At 41.8% G+C, this 22,768-nt stretch overlaps 1 protein-coding gene and 1 long non-coding RNA gene across 3 annotated transcripts in view; both read left to right on the forward strand.

Annotated features, from left to right (window-relative positions):
- The window catches only part of CLSTN2 (calsyntenin 2), a 642,213-nt gene that overhangs the window by 289,469 nt on the left and 329,976 nt on the right, over positions 1-22,768 (forward strand). The window lies entirely within an intron of this gene.
- On the forward strand, positions 950-21,391 carry LOC124909440 (uncharacterized). The gene is made up of 2 exons (XR_007096118.1): positions 950-987; positions 20,673-21,391. It is a non-coding gene; the product is annotated as an uncharacterized LOC124909440 (long non-coding RNA).

A 22,768-nucleotide genomic window follows, 5' to 3' on the forward strand; every position in this document is an offset into this window, starting at 1 on the left:
TCAGTCATAACCATGGAGTCTTACATAATAATATAGACCTTCTGTGCCCAGTCCTGTGTCAGAGGATCTGAGCAGCCCTCCATAAAGACACTTATTTAGCATTGATTAATCCACCATTCCCCAAACTTATGTAACCAAAAAACTCTTGTTTGCTAATTCCTATTAGACTCCCATTGACCTATGTTCTGAGAAACACATGAAGGAAAATACTAAGCTAGAGATTAGAGAGACTAGTGAAAAAGCAAGTCCACAATATAAGAAGAAATACCAGGTGGTCTGTGCCTAAGCCAAGCAACCCAAGGAAGGGCAGCCATAGAAAAGGGCTTTCCCTGCTCCACCAGCAAGTGCGCCAGCCAGCCCTCCAACATGTCTATGCTGGGCCCATCCAGGTTGCACTATGTGTGAATTCAGTAACAACTCACAATGGAGCATCAGTTCCAGCCATCTGGGTCAGCAGCCTCCCAGCTCGGAGCATAGGCTCACACCAATCACAGAGCTATCTGGGCAGACTCTCCACCCTTCCCCCACCTGCTGCTTTATGGGAAGGGCCCTGCTATCCCTGTAAAGAAGGACTCCTGTCCTTCTGGTTGGTCTGCCTTTCCAGGTGATGGTGAGAGAGACACCAGCCACCTTTCCTGGGCACACATCCCATTATCTGGCTCCTGGAGTGTGATTACATTACTTCAGTTGCACTGTTTCCATCTGACTTGAGCTACACGAATTGTTTCTCTTGCTTGTTTAATTGCCCATGTCTTATTACAGAGACAATTTATTGTTTTAGTGCAGCATAAAGTTCAAATATTTTATGCAAGATGAATACGGGCACTGACATTTTTGTTTGTTTGTTTGTTTGTTTGTTTTGAGATGGAGTTTTGCTCTTGTCGCCCAGGCTGGAGTACAGTGGCGCGATATCGGCTCACTGCAACCTCCGCCTCCCGGGTTCAAGTGATTCTTCTGCCTCAGCCTCCAGAGTAGCTGGGACTACAGGTGTGTGCTGCCATGCCCAGCTAATTTTTATATTCTTAGTAGAGATGGGGTTTCACCATGTTGGCAAGGATGTACTCAATCTCCTGACCTCATCATCTACCACCTCGGCCTCCCAAAGTGCTGGGATTACAGGCATGAGCCACTGCACCCGGCCTTGACACTGACATTTTCATGCCCTTCTCAAACTCACACAAATGAAAATCACACTGGAAACTTTTCAAACTGTTTTTGGCCAATAATGACCAAGTGTCAAAATCTCCATAAGTTGATTTTTTTTAAAAAAAAAAGGACTCTAAAAGAATATGTTTTCTTCTATAATATTGCTGGGGATTTTATTGGGTGATACCAACACAAGCTTATGAATAGCTTTCCTAGGGTGTGAAAATGCCTTGGAAAACACCTTGGGAATTAACTGTTGATATATACAACCACCTGGGTGAATCCCTAGAGAATTACACTGAGAGAAAAAAGCCAATCCCAAAAGCCTACATACATGCTGCATGATTCCATTTATATAACATTCTTAAAATAACCACAGAAATGGAGAACATTTAGTGGTGCCAGAGATTAAAGACAGGGTGGGGATGGGAGGGAAGTAGATGTGGCTATAGAAGGGTAACATGAGAGGTCCTGGTGGTGATGAACTGTTCTGCATCTTGACTGTATCAATGTCAATGTCCTGGTTGTGATATTGTGCTATAGCTTTGCAAGATGTTATCACTGGGAAAAGCTGAGTAAAAGACACATAGGATTTCTCTGTATTATTTTATACAACTGTGTTTAAATCTATAATTACATTCAAAATAAAAAGCTTAATTTGAAAATGTTGGAAAATAAGGTGGATCGACAGCTAGATAGATGGATAGATATGGGATAAAGTGGTATATGGGTATTCATTATAGAATTCTTTTAATTTTTCTCCATATTTGAAATTTTTTATAATAAAATGTTGGAAAAAAGATGTTAGAAATGTGAATAATTGCCTAAGAGAGACTAGATAATGGAACAGGACCTAAACTATGCAGTGCTGGTGTATTAGTCCATTTTCATGCTGCTGATAAAGACATACCCAAGGCTGAGCAACTTACAAAAGAAAGACAGGACTTACAGTTCCATGTGGCTGGGGAAGCCCCCCAATCAAGGCAGAAGTCAACGAGGAGCAAGTCGTGTCTTATATGGATGGCAGCAAAGGGAGAGTTTGTGCAAAAAAAAACTCCCATTTTTAAAACCATCAGATTTTGTGAGACTCTTTCACTATCATGAGAACAGTGCAGGAAAGACCCGCCCCCATAATTCAATCACCTCCCACCAGGTCCCTCTCATGATACTTGGGAATTCAAGATGAGATTTGGGTGGGGACACAACCAAACCATATTATTCTACTCCTGGTCCCTCCCAAATCTCATGTCCTCACATTTCAAAACCAATCATGCCTTCCCAACAGTCCCCCAAATTCTTAACTCATTTCAGCGTTAACTCAAAAGTCCACAGTCCAAAGTCTCATTCAAGGCAAGGCAAGACCCTTCCACCTATGAACCTGTAAAATCAAAAGCAAGTTAGTTACTTCCTAGATACAATGGGAGTACTGGCATTGGGTAAATACAGCCAATCCAAATGGGAGAAATTGGCCAAAACAAAGGGGCTACAGGCTCCATGCAAGTCTGCAATCCAGCAGGGCAGTCAAATCTTAAAACTCTGAAATGAACTCCTTGGACTCCATGTCTCACATCCAGGTCAAGCTGATGCAAGAAGTTGGTTTCTATGGTCTTGAAAAGCTACATTACTGTGGCTTCACAGGGTACAGCTTCCCTCCCGGCTGTCCTCATGGGCTGGCATTGAGTGTTGGTGGCTTTTCCAGGTGCACAGTGCAAGCTCTCAGTGGATCTACCATTGTGGGGTTGGGAGGATAGTGGCCGTCTTCTCACAGCTCCACTAGGGAGTGCCCCAGGAGGGACTCTGTATGGGGGCTTAGAACCCACATTTCTCTTCTGCATTGCCCTAGCAAAGGTTCTCAACAAGGACCCCAACCCTGTGCAAACTTCTGTCTGGGCATCCAGGTGTTTCCATGCATCTTCTAAAGTCTAGGTTGAGGTTACCAAACCCTCATTCTTGACTTCTGTGCACTTGCAGGCTCAACACCACCTGGAAGCTGCCAAGGCTTGGGGCTTCCACCCTCTGAAGTAACAGGCTGAGCTGTACCTTGGCCCCTTTTAGTCACAGCTGGAGTGGCTGGGACACAGGACACCAAGTCCCTAGACTGTGCACAGCATAGGTACCCTGGGCCTGGCCCACAAAACCATGTTTTCCTCCTAAACCTCCAGGCTGGTGATGGGAGGGGCTGCCACAAATGTCTCTGACATGCCCTGGAGACATTTCCCCCCTTGTCTTGGGGATTAACATTTGTCTCCTCGTTACTTATGCAAATTTCTGCAGCTGGCTTGAATTTCTCCTCAAAAAATGGGATGTTCTTCTCTATCTCATTGTCAGGCTGCAAATTTTCTGAACTTTTAGGCTTTCCTTCCTTTATAAAACTGAATGCCTTTAACAGCACCCAAGTCACATCTTGAATGCTTTGCTGCTTAGAAATTTCTTCTGCCAGATACCCTAAATCATCTCTCTCCAGTTCAAGTTCCACAAGTCTCTAGGGCAGGGGCAAAATGACACCAGTCTCTTTGCTAAAACATAACAAGAGTCACCTTTGCTCTAGTTCCCTAAAAGCTCCTCATCTCCATCTGAGACCACCTCAGCCTGGACTTTATATTCCATATCACTATTAACATTTTGGGCAAAGCCATCAACAAGTCTCTAGGAAGTTCCAAACTTTCCCACATTTTCCTGTCTTCTTCTGAGCCCTGAAAACTGTTTCAACCTCTGCATGTTACCCAGTTCCAAAGTTGCTTGCACATTTTTGGGTATCTTTTCAGCAGCACCCCACTCTTGTAGTACCAACTTACTGTATTAGTTCATTTTCATGCTGCTGATAAAGATATACCAGAGACTGGGCAATTTACAAAAGAAAGAGGTTTAATTCAACTTACAGTTCCACGTGGCTGGGGGCCTCACAATCATGGCGGAAGGCAAGGAGGAGCAAGTCATGTCTTACATGGATGGCTGCAGGCAGAGAGAGTTTGTGCAGGGGAACTCCTGTTTTTAAAACCATCAGATCTCATGAGACTCATTAACTATCATGAGAACAGAGCAGGAAAGACCCGCCCCCATAATTCAATCACCTCCCACTGGGTCCCTCCCACAACACATGGGAAGTCAAGATGAGATTTGGGTAGGAATACAGCCAAACCATATCAGCTGGAGATTAAAGTTGACCACTTGGTCCTTGGCATGGAGAAGAGAAAGATTATGTGTCCATTCTGTATGAGTCCCTTGAGGTGAGGAATTAGAGATTCTCCTGGTCTTCCCAAGAGCCAGAGAGAGGAACCTGAGCCCCACCATAGAACTAGGCTGGGTGACTTCTGTGGAGCAGATCCATGAGCATAAGCATGAGTTCCAGGATTGCAGGAGCCTAGATAGCCCCAGGAAGGAGAACTAGCCACCTATCCATATCCAGGATTTCCTGGAGCAAAAGCTAAAAAGAAGAAACGAGGAGCTCATGATGTGTACTTGAAAATGTATACATAAGGCATTCAGCCAAACTGAGTTCCAAGTATTTCTCAACACTGTTTATACCAATGCTTCATTAGCAAAGTAATAAAATCCAGGAACAGTCCACTGTTCCACTCACTGTCTGTGTTCCAAACTGGTCACTTAGATGCTGGAGCTGCTGTGGGGTCTGAGACGCCACATTCCCACATTTCTGGGGACACTACATGACCCAGTTCTCCTGCTTCCCACCCTCCTTTTCCTTTTTCTCCATCCCAGGGCTCTGGGCCTCAGATCTCTATGTTGTCTTCCACTTGACAAAGCACGAACTGAACTGATGCTCCTCCTGATTATTCAGGAGAGCTAAAACCCATTCAGGCAGGCAAGGAAATAGGTACCTGAGTGAGTGAAGGAGGAAGGGGAAAGCTGCTCTGCTCACTCTGATAGGCTTAAAACCCTGCTCCCGCTCTCACCTTCTCCACACATTCCTCTGGGGCTGCATCAGACCCAGTTTTCAAGTCTTTTTCCTGTCAAGATCTTCTCTTATAAAGGCAAATGAAGCTCCTGCTCTCTGAAATGTTAAGTACTAACCATGAAGGTTCCTTCCTGCCCTAAGGAGATGTTGAGCTTTCAGTCGGCTAGCTTTTCTCATACTCACAGTGTATCCTGATCGTCCCTCTGAGCAGGCTGTGATGTGGTAGCCCAGTTTATTTTTTTGGTTTTGAAGTACAACCATATAGAATCTCTTACAGTATATTGGAATTATTGCATTCACATCTGTCTTCTCTAGTAGCCTGTGAGCTGCTTGAGGTATCTTTCTGATTCATCCCCTCACCCCCAGGGTAAGACTTGTAAAGTAGATGCACAGCCAGCGGATGATTGGAATGGATGGATAGAAGGGGTCCTGATGGAATATCAGGCCGCAGCAAGCAGGGGAAAGAGGCCGTTTTGGCATGGTTGCTGATGTATGGGACATTACATACTGATTGCAGTGTTGTGAGGCAAGTGTACTTGTTGGGAAGGTTTTCTATGGCAGTGTTGTGTGGTCAAATGGATAGCATCATAAGAGCAAAGGCATATGTCAAACCAGTGGGTATTTTAGACCTACCTATAATTTACTCAATGACTAAAGCTAGTCTAGTGCTTGAAGCAAGCTTCAAATAGTAAATATGGCCTGTATGTTCTGAATATTTGTTTTTCCAAAATTTATATGTTGAAACTGTAAAACCCAAATACCCCAGTATTAGGAGGTGGGGCTTTTGGGAGGTAATTAGGCCATAAGGGCAGAGCCCTCATAAATGGGATTAGTGCCTTTATAAAACAGACCCCAGAGAGACTCCCATCCTTTCCACCTTGTCAGACATATTGAAAAGAGACCATCCATGAAACAGAAAGCTAGCTCTCTGCAGACACAAAATCTGCCGGTGCTTTAATCTTAGGCTTCCCAGACTCTGAAACTGTAAGAAATAAATTGATGCTGTTTATAAGCCACCCAGTTCATGGTATTTTGTTATACCAGCCTGAACCAACTGGCACAGCAATTTAAGACACCACCTTTGGACATCATATGAACCCTACAGATGATGCTAAGCTGGTATCCGTGCAGGGAATCACTCCCAAAGCACTCCTTCATTATATTTAGGTTTCCCTGGAGTCTTGGATAACACTGTAAGGGCAAAGAACCTTGTAGGCTCTCAGGAGGCTTCACTGGCAGCGTGAGGTCAGCCTGGCAGTTTCTGAAGGCAATAAAAGGTCTCAAACTTGGTTTTTAAGCAAGAAAATAATTATCTGATTATAAGTCAACTATTTCTTCACAATGAAACATCTTTTATAGATCTTCCCCCACTTCTAACCTTTCTCACCACCATAACAGTCAAAGTGCATGGTGAGAAAAGTATTATCCAGAGGTAGAAGGAACCACTATTAAGTAAGGGAGGTCTCAGCTTCTTTTAGGGGGCTCCCACTATCTCATCATGTCACCCAAGAGCCCTTTCTAACTGAAGCAGACACACCCTCCCGTCTCCCTGGCTCCAGAGCTGTCAATATTCTCCCTCATCATCTACTGCGGGAGTTCCATGACTCCATAAATCCCAACTCTCTAAGTTATAAATGTCTAGGTCTATCCCATCACAAAAAGAGATTGAAAAACCGGTTTAAAAAAAATGCAGACTGTTTCATGAGCAGTGAATTAACCATCACAAAAATACCATCTACAGGAAAACACACAAGGGGAGACAAATTCAGGTCAAGGCAAGTCTAAAATATACAGTGACTGTTCCCTTAAATTGGGTTGCCCATTATAGCTCATCTCAGGTGTGGAAAAGTACTCCACACTGAGGCACTCGATAGAGGCCTGTATTCCTCTCAACTGGTTCCTAGTTCAAGTCTCCTCTATGATGTCACGTTGCTCCATTATCTCTTCGTTGTTTGTCTTTCCTAGATAAGATTGGGAATCAATTATAGAAGGCACTGGACTCTAAGATCCATTTGAGTAGGAAATGTGATGTTTTAGATTGTTTTTGAATTGTAGCACCTTACATAATGCCTGGTATATGATAATCACTTAACTAGCCTTTGCTGAATGAAAGATTTCAGGTCAATTCAAGCTGTGTAGTGTAGTAGTTAGGAGCACAGACTTGGCAGCCACACCTTCTCTGTTTAAATCCCATGTCTGTCACTTTCTAGCTTTGTGACTTTGGGCAAGTTTGTTTTATCTCAATTTCCTTGTTTGAAAAATGAGGAAATAATGTAACCGGATAATGGGTACTATATATCTTTGGGTCAGTGTGAGGATTCAACGAGGAAAAGTATTTAAAATATCTATAACAGTGTCTACAGCACAGTACATACTAAATAAATGTTAGGTATCAATTCTGTTCTGGAAACCTGTGATATAGCTTGTGAGATGGAAGTACACAGGCTTCAAAGAAAAAAGCAAATACATGGTTCAGTCCCACCTTCAAAACTTATTGATGCTGCAAACCTGGTCAGATGTCAGATTGCTATATCCCAATGAGCTCCAGTTCCCTTGTCTGTAAAATTAGCATAATTGGATCTAGCCATAGAGTTATTGAATGCATCACATGAGATTATCTATGAGCCATGCTTGACATTGAATGTTAGCCACTCTCTCCTGATCCTCATTCCCTCCTCATGGGTGCCCTTTTCCTTTCTTCTCATGGTTTCCCTACTCTGCCCATCTCTCCCCAGGGGTCCCCTTGGACTCTCTGCTCTTCTTTCCCTATGCATTCTCTTTGTATGATCTTATCCCTGAGATCCCACGACTTTGATCACAGTTCCTACGGGCTGATGTTCCAAATCCCAACCTCCTGCCCAGATCTCCCTGCTAAGGTTCTAGTCCCATGTGCCTACCCACTCAGCATGTTTACTGGCCTCTTCTGTTCCAGACACTCAAAGTCAGCATGTCTAAGACTGAACTTATTACTTGTCCTCCAAACATTACCCCCTTATTGTATTTAATATTGCAATGAATGGTACCAATATCCACCCAGTTACTCAGCCAGAAACTTGAGTGTCTTCTTTAATTATCTTCACCATTGACATCTCAATATTGATCAGTCCTACTTCCATAATTCTTTGTTATACTACCCCCTCTCTCTGACCTGTGTCACTAGCTTAGTTCAGAACACCAGCTCTTTCCTGGGTGACTGCCAGAGCCTGCTGACTGACCTCCCCTCCGTCGTGCCCTGCCTCCCCTCACTTCATCCATTTTCCATGGAGAAATCCTTAGTACCAAGCTTTCTAGGTTTTAAAAAGAGAAATGCAGATGTAATTTCTTGATGGTTTAGAAAGCTTCAGTGCACCCTATTACCCTAAGAATTGGGCCCCACTACTTCAGAGAGTGTAAATGCCTTTTGTCTTTGATACTCTGACCCTAGATTCTCCCTCTCCCCAGCACCCCACTTTTCCTTCTCAGACTCAAGTCTCTGGTTCTGCACTTGCATTGCTATAACTGCCTGTGTTTCCTCCCGCCTCTAGCTTTTATGCATTGCTCACTCTGCTCCACTGACACTTGGTCGACTCCGCATTCGCCAAGTCCTCAGGTCTCAACAGAGGCTGACCTTCTTTCTGTAAGCTGCTCCTTATCCCCGGATTCTGGGCTGTATAGGTGTTCTCCTCCAAGCTCATGCAGCACCCCATGGCTATCTCCATTCCAGGAAGCACTACCCTGGTTTGGTTGTATCTTCCTTCCTCCTCGAGCTATGGACTCTCTGAGAAAAGGAATACTTCATTATTTATCCCATATTTATCTTACCTGCCATATAGTAGTCATTCAGTAAAGCTGAATACATAAAAATTAATTGTATATGTTAGATGACATTTTCTTCTACTCCAAAGGGCCCATCTAACAGGAATTTGATATTAATGGGCCAAGTTTTCCCTGCCATAAATGGTCTCATACTCTTCTTGACTCTGTTAAAGCTTGTGGTGTTAATCTCAGATACCCAGTATCCAAAGCTTCCTTGCCCTCCACTGAAATATCCTGCATCCAGCTGGTTTTTTAATATATCTGTTTAGCTTGAAACATATTTTCTCCTTCCACAATCCCTCTTCCAGAGGGGAACAGCTGGTGCTCTAGAATGGGGTGCTGCAAGCTGTAGCCTGAGGGCCAAATGCAACTCACCACCTGTTTTCATAAAGTTTTATTGGAACACAACCACACTCATAGATTTATGTATTGTTTATGACTTTTCTCACGCCACAGTGGCAGAGTTAAGTAGTCATGACAGAAACCATATGGCTTGCAAAGCTTAAAATATTTATTCTTCATCCCTTAACAAAAAATAGGTTGCTGATACCTGCTCTAGAGCTTTGTTCATGAGCATCTGGGCCAACTCAGCCCTGTGCTGCTGAGATTCAAATATGCAAGGCATAACCCGAGAAAGGGTCACGGTCACAAATCCAATTTCCATGGCTGAAAGGCATTTCTAATACCTTTTCTTTGATAAAGCTTTATGTTTTTGTAAGTACTTTCATGTTCATTAAGGAAAAGATCTTCAAATACAAATACCACTGCTTGCAAGTGATGCTGCTGCTGCCGCAGCTGCTGCTGTCTAGACGACACTCTGAGTTCCCAGGCCATTGAGGGTAGGCTCTGGAATCCCACTGCCTGTGCCTAAATTTGGTCCACTGCTTACCAATGGTGTGAACTGGAACAAAATAAAAAACTTAACTCTCAGGGTCTCGGTTTTCGCCTCTGTAAAATGTGGTCAATGAAAGTAACATCTAGCTACCAAGGTCATAGTGGAGAGTAGATGAGTCATGTCAAGCTCTTATCACAGTGTTTGGTTTATTTTAAAATGCTTAATATATTTCAGCTGTTGTGGTCTTATTTGCCTGTGTGCTGGTACCATGACAAGAAATTCCCTATCACAGCCAGATTCCTAATGCTTGCTTTCGTTCATGCTATCCCTCTTCATGAAGGCTTTGGTATATCCCAATGCCTACGTGAGAAGATCAGAACTGTGGCTCTACGTGTTTCACTTGCTCTGATGTCACTCAGCCTTCTGTCCCCATTGACAGGTCTCCTTATTGCTCCGTGTACTGCCCTGGTTGTTCTTGCACCATTGCTTTATCCATGTAGCTCTCCCAAGCTTATATTTTCTTGCTCCTCCTCTCTGCCTGTCTCTTAATGTTCTGCAGCAGCTCCATCTTCTGCAGAAGCCACACAGACACTATGGCTACCGCCACAGAGTTCCCCTCTTTCCCGGAGCTCACACAACTCCAGAAGAAGTGGCTTCACTGGATATGAGACTTATCTCCTTGGGTGTTTATTTAGCTGTGTCATTCAGCCTCTCTGAGCCTCTATGTCCTCAACTACAAAATAGGAATAATATTAATTTTTCAAGGTGGTTATGAGGATTAACTATAATATGACAAGTATTTCTAGCACATCGAAGTTTCAAAATATATTCGTTGTGTCCTCCATGCTTTTAGTACATGGCTTTTTGCACATAGCTGGGCACAATGGACTGATTAATGTACATTGCCTAAGATAGTAGATTCTCTCCCCATGATTGAACCCTGAAGGCCAGATGGGGGCCCTAACAGTTCACGCCACCCTTATTACCCTTTCCTTTCCACGAAGACTTTCCAGGTCAGCCATGTAGCCCTCCAAGAAAAAGGATGGCAGTAGAGGATACCTTGAGTGCTGCTGGGTATTGAAGCAGAAGTGGTCTGTGTTGGCAGAAATTTAAGCACATGCTTGGTGATAATGGTGTTAACTGATAAACCAGGACCTAAGCTGTGTCCAGTTGTGTGCAGCTCTGGGGATCCTCCCGTGGGTCTGAGTGGCTCTAATTAGTCTTCTGGTTTGCTATGACTGATAGAGTCTGGTCTTCTTCTGGCTTACCTTACCACTATTCTCTGGTGAGAAACCTTTGCTGTCTACCTTGTCTGTACCAGCAGATTCCAGAGCTATTCAGCCAGTGAAGCTAGGAGAGGTAGGGGTTAAGTGGGAAGCCCTAGAACATCCCCAGGGTTCATAAACATTCTCCTACTGAGTAGATGAATGCCTTATGATTGGAGGAGTAGGTGGTAGTGGGGGGCTGATTAGAGAAGGTGAGGACAGTTTATTTGTGGGAAGGGAGAAAATGAAGATAAATACATTGCTTAACAAAAGCAAGAGGTTTGGAAAGGAGATAGTAGTGAAGAACAGCAGTGGGAATAAAGCTGGAGAAAATAGGATGGTTTGTCATGGATGGTGACTGTAGCAGATGGTGTCAAGAGGACCCATGAGTTCCTGCCTGCAACTCATTCTGTGTCCCTGAGCAAGTGTTAGCCCCATTCTGAGCCTCAAGTAATAACCCTGTAAAATCACAGATTTGGAATTGGTGATTTCTGTGGGCCTCTCCACACACCTAAATATCTTGTATCCCTTGGGAAACTCTATGACTTTATTTTTAAAAATTTACCAAATACCTAAATATCAATTTTTTGTGCCATTATAAGAATTTTAAAATAATAATTGCCTCTTTTAAACCTTAACATAGCCCTAAGAGTTAATTTCTATTTTTTAAACTGTACTTTAAAGATGTTGTTCCACTGTCTTCTGACTTGTATTGTTATATTGTTTCTGATGGAAAGTCTGAGAAGTCTGCTATCAATCTTAGTTTATGTGTAATTTGCCTTTTTATGGCTAATTTAAAACTGTCACTCTCTAATATTGGTTTTCAGCAAGTTGATTTTGATGTATTTTGTGTTTTTGTCATTTCTTCCACTTCAGCCTCATTGAGCTTCTTCTTGGCTCATGGTTTTCATCAAATTTGCTAAATTTCAAATAATTATTTCTTCAAGTGCTTTTCCTGCCTCCACTCCCGTTTTCTAAGGATTCAGTTATATGTATGTTAGGCTGCTTCTCTTCCTATCCCATAGCTCACCGATGCTCTATTCACTTAATTTTTCAGTTGTATTTTTCTCTATTTCACTTTGTATAGTTTCTATTGCTATGTCTTCAAGTTCACCACTCTTTCTCCTATGGTGTCTAATCTGTTTTTAATCTCATCCAATATATTTTTAATCCCAATGTTGTTTTTGTTCATTTCCTATTACATGTTATGTTATATAGTGTGTGTGTGTGTGTGTGTGTGTGTGTGTGTGTGTGTGTATATAAATTTCACTGTCTTACCTTCTCATGCTTCCTTTTTTCTCTTCCTTCTGGAACATATGGAATATATTTATAATATTTTAATGTTTTTATCTATTAATTACATTATCTGTGTCACTTCTGGGTCTATTTCTACGAACTATCTCTTCTCCTTATCATGAGTCATGTTTTCTGGACTCTTTGCATGCCAAATAATTTTTTATTGGATTCTGGACATAGTGAACTTTATGTTGTTTAGTTAGTAGATTTTTATGCATTCTTTGAAATAATTTGGTACTTTGTTCTGGAATGCACTTAAATTATTTGGAATCAGTTTGAGCTTTTCAAGACTTGTTTTTAAGCATTTTTAAGTGGGAACAGATCAGCTGTTCTGTTCTGTTTTCTAGAGATAATTTGTTCCCACTACTGACGCAATACTCCATGTGTCGTACATTACAAGGCTTTCCCTCACTGGCTGGTGGGAAGACAAACTATCTGTAGCACTGTAAAAGCTCCAGGGATTATTCTGCCAGCTCCTTTTTAGTAGTTTTTCCTCAGCCTTGGTAGTTTTCTCATGTGCATCTTCTGATCAGAGCTCAAGGACTTGAGGAAAACCTTCTGGAGATCTCCATGGTTGTCTCGCTATGCGTCTCCTTCCTCTCTTACACTCTTCCCCGTACATGATAACTGCCTTAACCTTCCTGAACTTCTGACTCTGACTTCTTAATGCAGGGAAACTGCTAAGCTCTGTCTGGGTACTCTCTCCTGGTACTGCAGCCTGGAAAATCTTGCCAGGCAGTAAGCTGAGACATAACATTTACCTTATTTATTTCTGTTTCTTCAGAGATCATTATTTTTTGCTACCTGTTGTACAATACCTGACAGCCAGTTTAATACATTTTTGCAGTGTTCTGTTTTTTTAAGGCAGAAAGCTTCTATTATTTCATCATAGTATGAAGTGGAAGTCCTATTAGATACTGTTTTTATATTTATTTTACAAATGGTGAAACTGAGGCACAGAGAGATTGAATAATTTACCCAAGCTTGCACAGTTAACAATTACTCAGTAATTTGAAGTCATAATCTCAACTTTAGGCTCTGCTGTCTCAAAAGCATTTCTGTAAATCAAGTCAAAATCTTAATAATTTGGTAGTTCCCAATTACAGAGCAAGGACATCAACATGTGTTTGCACATCAACCTATTCAGTATTCAAAGGGACTGGTCCATTCTGCTTATCTTTGTGTTCAGAGATAATCATGGATGCTTTTTAAGGCATTAACTCTAATGCTATATTTGCATCCTATCTTACATCTGAGGACAGAAGACATTTCTTCTGACCCTTTGGGGCCACAGGATAGATTTCCAGAGCCTCCACTTGTGACAGATATTTGTATTGAATAGAAATATAATCTGACTTTTCAGTGCTCTCTGGAAAATTCCTGTTTTTGGAGCACAAACCATTTACCCAAACAGTGTAAAGAGATTATGGTTCACTCTCTACACTGAATTATGCATGGTTTTCAGCTAGGTAAAGTTCTCTATTTTCTATTTTAGGAACATTCCTGCACAGAACAGAAAAAAAAAATCTATACTTTCCAGAAGCAACCATTCTTGATTTATTTTAATTCTACTAGGAAAAAGAAATAATAAGTCTGAACCCTATCCATTTTTTCTGCATCTCGTTTTATAATTGGTAATCAGAGATTTCTCTTCATTTTCAGAAGTAGAACTTTCTTTTTATGTTTCATGACATTAGAATAAAAAAAGAAGAACATTTGGCCCAACTTTTACAACATCCATTGCAGCACACTCATTATGAGATCTTTTTAGAATTAGAATGACTAATCCTGCTTAATACATGAGGAGTGTTTGTTATTAAGCACTGTGCCTTCTCAGAACACCATGTCAAAACCATTTTAATTTGAGTTAGTGGTGATTAAAAAATGTCAGCTTTAAAAAGACTATTTCAAGAATGCCTCAGAGCCTTGGATTTGGCTACAAAGAAATATGTGATGCATTGAAATCATAGAACGATTAAGGCAAGAAGAGATTTGAATTCCAGGGTTTTAGTTCAGCATTGATGGTGTAATATACAATGGATATGGTTCTAAAAGGAAAGTTAGATTGCTCAGCTGAATTGAAGGCATTCATTTGGAGGAAAATACAAGTGACACATGGAAATAATATTGCTGTACTTTTCTCAAATGTACTTTTTATCTCATCTTCTATCCCAGCAATCTTTGGCCACATCTGGGTTGCAGGAAGGCTTCAGTAACCCTAGTTTTTGCTGCCAGTATCCCCAGATACTGGCTGTGAGGAGACAGGACAGAGTGCTTGGTGGTATGAAAAGCAAAATGAGTTAACTCCACAATTTTGATTCAGTCCAGACCTGCAGCTTGTTTTTGTTAGAGTTGCAGAATAGATACACACATACAAATACATACACGTATGATTACATACACATACTACATATGTGAGCTCAATTTATCAAAGCTGTGATATCAATTGTCATTTTATGTACCACTAGGAAAGGAAAAACATTGCCAGCTAAACTATGACACAATGCTTTCTTAATGCTTAGAAATTTTACTTCATACTTGTTAAAAGAGTTTTTAAAATGAATAAATGAATATCATCACTCTTTTGCATACTTAAAAATGATAATATAATATAGACAATATTAAATGGTTGAAATGTTCCCAAATCAGCTCCGTATTCAAAGACTCAATTTCGTAATCATTTTCAATTCAGAATTGTCCAAGTTTTTCCACACAATATCATCCTCTGTGTCAGTAAGGGCATTGCTAATGCAGTATTTTCTAAAAAGTGCTCCATTTTTGTGTCCAGGACTTTCTCCAAGTGCTAAAAGCCTTTCTGCAAATTTTGATGTGTACACATTATCAATTACAACTACGTCATGACTATAGCCAGGCCAGAGATTGTGAAATGCCATTGATTATAAAATACAACATGATTTCAATGATAAAATATGAAAAAATATACATTATGTATGTATGTATATATATCTGTGTTTATACATATATGTGTGTATACATACACACAAACACTCATATTTATGTATATATATGTGTATATATATATAACTAAAATAGACATCTTAAAACAAAAGCAAATTTTGTCTTGTAGGATATCATTGCAGAGGGCAGGATATGCCTTTCTACCTTTCCTGAGCACAGGAATTCCATCTGTGAATTCACCTCTGCTCTTGGCATTTCCTCAACCTCCAGCCTAGCTCTGGCCATAAAGCTATACCTTAATTGCACCTGGTTTCTCTCTCTCTCTCTCTGTCTCTCTCTCTCTCTCTCTCTCTATATATATATATATATATATATATACACACACACACACACACACACATATATATATATGCATATATACACATATATATACATATATACACATATATACACATATATACATATATACACATATATATATATACACACACACACACATACACATACACATACATATAAAATACTACCATATAGTACTGAGCTAGTTACATGAACAAAAAAAAAAGTCATGGGACAACGTGAAAGGAGAATGACATTTGGAAAGAGAAGATTTGAGCCCCTTACCTAGCTGTAATATTTGCCAGCTATGTGAACTTTGGCAAATTATAAACCTTCCCTGAGGCTCATTTACTCATGGGATGATGACCATGTGATAATACCACCTTAACAGGTTTGTTGAGAGGACAGATGAGTTAACATTTATACAGGTGTAAAGTGATACACAGATGGATAGCACTCTTACTACCAGGATGCTAACACACTTCCCACAAGCCAAGGGGTGAGGACTTTGCTGAAGCTAGGTGATCCTTGACCTTACTCTTGCCAAAGCAGCAGAATAGAGAGTTAAGGAGGAAGAGAGACCAGAACAAGCTAACTTTGAGAGACTGAAGCAATGAAGACTGATCATTGGGTAAAAGGTGTTCTGCAGCTGGGGTAAAAGAAGCAGCCAGATTTTTACGTGGCACTACTAGGGTCCCTGCCTTTATATCCCCTCTCCATGAGAGAACCTTTTTCTTCCTGGATGGGATGCTGGCCACCAACTAAGAGGCTGAGGTGGGGAGTGGCATGTATCGACCATCATGAGGTTGTAATGTACCAGGATCTCAGGAGATGAGGGACTGTAACTGTTGACAAGGTGACAGACATGGAAAATGATAATGCATGAAGTCAGCTTAGAAATCGTGACTTGTAGTTATGGTTCTATGCTTTCTGTTCTTAATATTTTTAGAAAAATAGTAAAATTTCAAAGAAAACAAGAAAAGAATACTAAGAGTGCCATCTCATGGTATGACTTATACCCATTTTGTCAAATTGTGCCTACCCATCCCTGCTGCCCATGGTCAGGATAGTAAATAGGTTTCATATCTCCTGACATGTCTAATCAATTAGCAGTGACTGCTAGGAATGTTCTCTTGTCCAATATTCTAAGGGTAAGTCCATGTTCAGTAAGAAAGTGTTGTGTGAGGGCTTAAATCTTAGTATCCATGTTGGATGAGGGAGAGGAGAGTGGACTCAATGTTTCGTGAGTCCACCGACCTTGATCTGTGGTCCAGGCCCCTTTTGAAGATCGTGGAGAATAAACATGTAAGAAATGACCTAGAAGGAGCTGATTCTGCACTTAGCTCCAATCTTGACTCATGTCCTGTAACTGTTCCTAGACCTCTTGCCCCTGATTCTAGTTTCCCAGACTCTTCTGCACAAGTGACTTGACTATGTATTCATTTATTCATTCATTTAACACATTTTGCTTAGGCACTTGTATACCAAGGATTGTGCTGGAGGCTGGGGATATACTAGAGGACAAAACAAATGGAGTCCTTGGAGTGTTCCTGTGAGGAAGGAAAATTGGCCTTTGACAGGCACACAATTTAATCCAGTTGCTTATGTGCTACAGAGGTCATATGCGAGATATATATATATATATATACACATATATATATATACACACACATATATATATACATATATATATACACATATATATACACATATATATATACACACACACACACACACACACACATATATATATATATATAATTTGACACAGAGTGTCACTTTGTTGCCCAGGCTGGAGTGCAATGGCACAGTCTTGGCTCACTGCAACCTCCGTCTCCTGGGTTCAAGCGATTCTCCTGCCTCAGCCTCCTGAGTAGCTGGGATTAGAGGCGCCCGCCACCATGCCTGGCTGGCTAATTTTTGTATTTTTGGTAGAGATGGGGTTTCACCATGCTGGCCAGGCTGGTCTCGAATTCCTGACCTCAGGTAATCTGCCCACCTTGGCCTCCCCAAGTACTGGGATTATAGGTGTGAGCCACTGCACCCAGCCACAGTATTTTATAAATACATAAAAATAGAAGAAACCTGGCCATTTCAGGAATTAATGAGTTTACTTGAGAAAGACTAACAGAAACCATGTCACCATTGTTAAATACATCCCCAATACTTCCCATGAAAACCTGTCTTTGAGACATTAGCAGAAATGTGAAGAAAGCACATTTGAAATATAATATTGGAAAAGGTGGCCCTAAGTCTTCCATGGACCAGCTTCTGAGGGTATTTTTTTACTTAAAGAGCCATATTGGAGCCCTGGTGTGCCTCATCTTGAGCCCCTGTTCTCTGAGTTCAGCCTCCCAGAGCCCAAGGAAGTTAACATTTTCCAAAATAAGACAGAGTCATGGCCTGTACCCCTACTTTTTCCACTTGGTTGGGAACTACAGGGTTTTATGGACCTCAAGAGTTTTGACACTCAGCCATCACCTTCTCCTGCGGGCACTTACCCAAAGCGAGAGCTCATGGGATTCTGCGCTTTATGAGAGGACATGATTCCCATTCCCCAGGATGCCTGTGTCTGGCATTCACAGAGGCAATGGGGCCTGACGGAGTCCTTGCTGCCCAATGGCCTCTGGAGGAAAAGTGCTCACTTCTCAAGAGGTTGCATCCCCTAGGAACACTGCACCGTTATGGCCTTGCCCTGGAGGAAGGGCCTGAGCTGTCCCACGCTGCCCTCATTTGGGACTCACATACAGGAGCCACACATGCGCTCATGGCTACTGCACTTCCTATGTGTTCACTTTCATCAACACCTGCTGCTGTTCCTTGTTCCTGACTCATTGTTAAGCTTGAAATCTTGCCAAGCTACTGCAGCCCATAGCACATTTCTTCTTTCCTAAACCTTGGAAGCATATGATTACTAATTATGTAAGTCAAGTCCCACTTTCCAAACCATACCCTGGGAATAAAGGCCTTCTCAAGTTTCACAGCTCACCCTCTCCCGTCATGGCAGAGTGGAGCACAAGGTCAGTGACATGGGAGGGGCACACAGTAAAGCCTGCTGTTAATGGAAAGGGACAGAAATAGACTTTGGTCTTCCCTTCCCAAGTTAGGACGTGATTACTCACTCTCCAAGGGCTAATTTGAGACTCAATATTTTTATCCAGACTTCAGAAAAGAAACCATTGATGGGTAAATGATAAGTCAGTAATGGGCCTCCCCATAAGTAGATCTTTATAAAGGGGTCTTGGTGTCCTGAGACATCTGGGTTATATTGCTGTCTTTTGCCTGTGGTTTAGTAAATGAATGCAAGTTTGGGGGAACATGGGAAAGAAGAGGGAGGGCCCATGCTTGTGCACCTATGTGTGCACAACTGCAAAGAGTGCATGTCATATGGGTGTCCCTGTGGCTGTCCATACATAGTGAAAGTGCCACACTTGGGCTTGATGGCTGAGGCACACAGTTAAAGATCTCCACTGTACTAGGCTGAAAACTTGGACACTCTAGACTGAGAGAGCAAGGAGAGCTTACAGTCTTGCTTCTCAAAGTGAAGTCCATGGGCTAGCAGTGTCAGCATCACTTGGAAGATGGCCAGAAATGCAGATCAGGTCCCCAGATCTACTGCATCAGATGTGTAATCTCCAAGTGATTTATAAACACATGAATATCTAAGAAGCACATGCTTAGAGTTTATCTCCCTGAATGGCGCAAGTGAGAAAACAGGCCAAGAGAGATGCTCCACAGTCAGTGCATGTCAGACTACAGCCAGGCCTGGTAAAACACAGAGTATAACTGCCCCCTCTTTGTGCAACCAAGACCTATAGCCACACATCTTCTGCCCATTCCATGGTCCCTCTCCTGTCAGGAGTTGTGTCTGTTTGACAGAAGTGCCTGAGGTAAAGTAGAGAGGAAGGCTGGCAGTGCTGAGTGCTAAGGGAAGAAGCGCTTGCATCTGAATTCAGTTGTGGCTAACAGGAGCAGAGTTGTCAAGCCAGGGTTATGTAGCAACATGCCAGAGGTCTCCTTGTACTGCCTGCACCTGGATGTGGCCCTCCGGGACTACACCACTTGACTGATGTGGCAAGGAATGGAATGGGTGCAGAGAGGGGTTACCTGATTGCATGAGGGTGGGTTTTGTGATGTGGTAGTCAGCTAGAAGGGAATTATTGTAGTGTGAAGCCAAACTGACATCACTGCCTTTCAGGGCATTATGTAGTATGGGACCCACCCTACAACCGTCAGGAAATGCTGTGCCCCTTTCTCTCCTCCACTCTACATCCAACTAGGTGGCTACGATGTTTGTGGGAAGGGTCCCTGTCTTAGTGTGTGTACGTACACACACCACGCTCATGCACTTAGAGCACCAGGCTCAGCCTTTATACTTGATTCAGTGTCTGGTTCATCTTTGTAACCCTGGCCCTTAAGTTCATGCCTGGCACATACATAATAGCTGCTTAATAACAGTTTATTGATGTAAACTTAACTGCAGTAAGAAAATGGCCTCTCTCCAAGACCAAGGCCTCACTTAACCAAAGGAGAGGTCATCCTATTGAACACCTTCCCAAACAGATTCCCTTTTTATTTGTGTTAATACCCTATTTGTGTTATACTGCATTTGTGTTAATATCTTATTAAGTTTGTAGTTCCAGTTTGATGTTTATTGCAGTTTATTCTCTGTAACACTCCAGCAAAATGTTAATTTTACCTTATATATATTTTTAAAGTTCTATAGCTTATTAAAGTTTGAAATGTCAAGGTTTGAAAACGCCATGGCATATCATGCCGTGGACTATTCAGACCTTAGCTGTGCTAACATGCAGGTGCCCCTGTGGGAAGTGGAGGTGTGCACAGTACTCCAAACTTGCCTCCCTCATACCACAGAGCCTCTTCTTCAGAGAGTCTTGATTTCTCAGAAGGTACTTCGGGAGACCCTGATCTAGTTATTCTGGTATGTGTGGCATCTGTCTTCTAACTTGATAACCACGTGTTCCAGGGCTGGCAATGTGTTTTACACTCGGCTGTTATTCCTCAGGGCTTAGTAGGTATTGAAGGAATGCCTACTGAATGAATAACTAAATCTAAGTAGGTCTGTGAAAAAGACAAATAGATATAAGTTCCAGGGTGGAATAAATTTTATTTAATTCTAATTTAACTCAATGACTATGTTCAGGTGACTGCTTCTGTGCCAGGCTGTGTGCTGAGCATGGTGAATACAGAAATGAAGAAGACCAAGCACCATCCCCAAGAAATACAAGGACTTGAAAGAGAGACAGATAAAGGCACTTCCCAACTGTGGACAAATGGAACAGATAATGAATTTACAAGGCTTGGAAGGTGCAAAGAAAAAGGAGTGTGCAATCCTTAACCTAGATGATGACTAAAACAAATTGTGGAAGGATAACTGAATTCACTGTGGTGACAAGAATGGGGCAGGGTGCAGTATGGTCAACAGCTTAGAGGTATAAACACATTGCCATGCCCCAGAGACCATTAGCTCCGCCCTCCCACAAAAAAAATGTGACAACTGACAAATGTTGGAGTTGAGAATGTCCTAGATCACAATAAGTAGATCTTTCCCTTCTCTAAAGTCAGTATATTTCTGTTGGGACAGTGCCCTGCTCTGATTCAGAAAGGTGCCAGTCTTCCTGACTTCAGGGACTTGCAGTGGCTTTGGACAGTGGCTTTGCACTTTGTGAGCTCGCACTTACTGAGGAAGAATGCCTTAGAGTGTGGCCCATGCTCTAGCCTGCATGGCTGGTGGCACTGAGTTAGGACATGTGTATCACTGATATTCGTATTTCCTAAAAGTCTTATTATTATGCTGTACAGATATGTGTGGATTTTTTAAAGCTTGCACTCAATAAACTGTGAATCTGCGACTGTAAATAAGACAACTTGTAAAAATGCGTTTACGTTGATCCTTCCAACTTGAAATTTATTTTGCTTTTACTTTAGCTTATTTATGAACCAAGAATGACACTGATAGAGAATGTTTCCACACTAATAACACTAAAATAGATTTAGATGCCTATCAGATGAAAGTTGAGTATCATTTTTAATTATGATTAAGGTGACGTTTTATTATTTTCCCCAGGAGAGTCATGAATTTTGATCTGCATGAAATGTTAATTGAATGCATCTCCTGCCCCTTCAATCAGAGAGCGTTCCTGGTAAATAACTGTGGTTCTTAGTGGCCAGTTGCTACTGGGGGATCTTTTACTACCATGGGTCCAAAGAAACAGTCTGGAGGCCTTTCTGCTTCCCTTCCTGTTTGAGCCAGGTGAAGGAATCGGACATATGTGAATCAGAAACCTTGCAGTACCACTTAGAAGCTGTACACACTTGATCAGTTATTTCATGTTCCTAGGCCTGTGTTTTCTGGCCTGCACAATGGGCATGATACTGATTTCAGAGAATGAGGATTTCATGAAACAATGTAACATACATAGCAAAATGCCCAGCACATCGTAAGTGCATTTAACACTGGTGATATTGTTATTTTCTTAAAGTTTCAACAGAAATGGAAAATGTCAAACTAATCAGTCTAAGGGCTGGGAAGAGAGCAACAGGGGCATATGTGGGCAGGTAGGAAGGCAGGGGGTGTGTCTGAAGGAATTCCAGAAGTGTCGGGCTTTTTAGCAGCTCCCTGTGGAGCTGCTTACATGTCAGGGCTTCCTTATTTGCTCCTGAGAGGCAGCAGTGCAGTAGGAAGGATATGGGCTATGAATTCAGATGGACTTGGGACCGAATCCTAGGGTTATTAAAATGGAAATAATAATGCTCTTATTAGTCATTGTGAGGATTCTGAATCAGGATTCCTGGTGCTCAATACCTGGGGGCCATAGTTATGGACTGATTCCAGAAAACAGAATGTAGAACACATCCACCCTGATGGGTTTATGAAGTCTCCTCTTCTAATTAAGGATGAACACCATTGAGAGATGGGCTTTGGTTTTCAGAAAAGTGAGCTGCAGATCATGAAAGGGCCTTGACATAGACGTTGGGGTCTTGACTTGGTTATCAGTTCTATCTGTACCATAGGGCTCTAGTTTCTAACTCTGTGTCTCTTTGTGGTTATACTGAGAGCCCAACTAACTACTAGCAGCAATTATGGCCTAATTCTTGGTAAAATAACAAGCTCATCCAGGTTTTCTTGGGATTTTCTTAGTGTTCTGAAAATCCTGCATCATGGGAAATGCTTTAGTTCCAGGAAAACAGGAGAGTTGGTCCTCTCTTGCCCCACTGTGGGCCAGGGGACCTTTGGGA

This window comes from Homo sapiens, chromosome 3 (genome assembly GCF_000001405.40).
Source record: "Homo sapiens chromosome 3, GRCh38.p14 Primary Assembly".
Classification (NCBI taxonomy): Eukaryota; Metazoa; Chordata; class Mammalia; order Primates; family Hominidae; genus Homo; species Homo sapiens.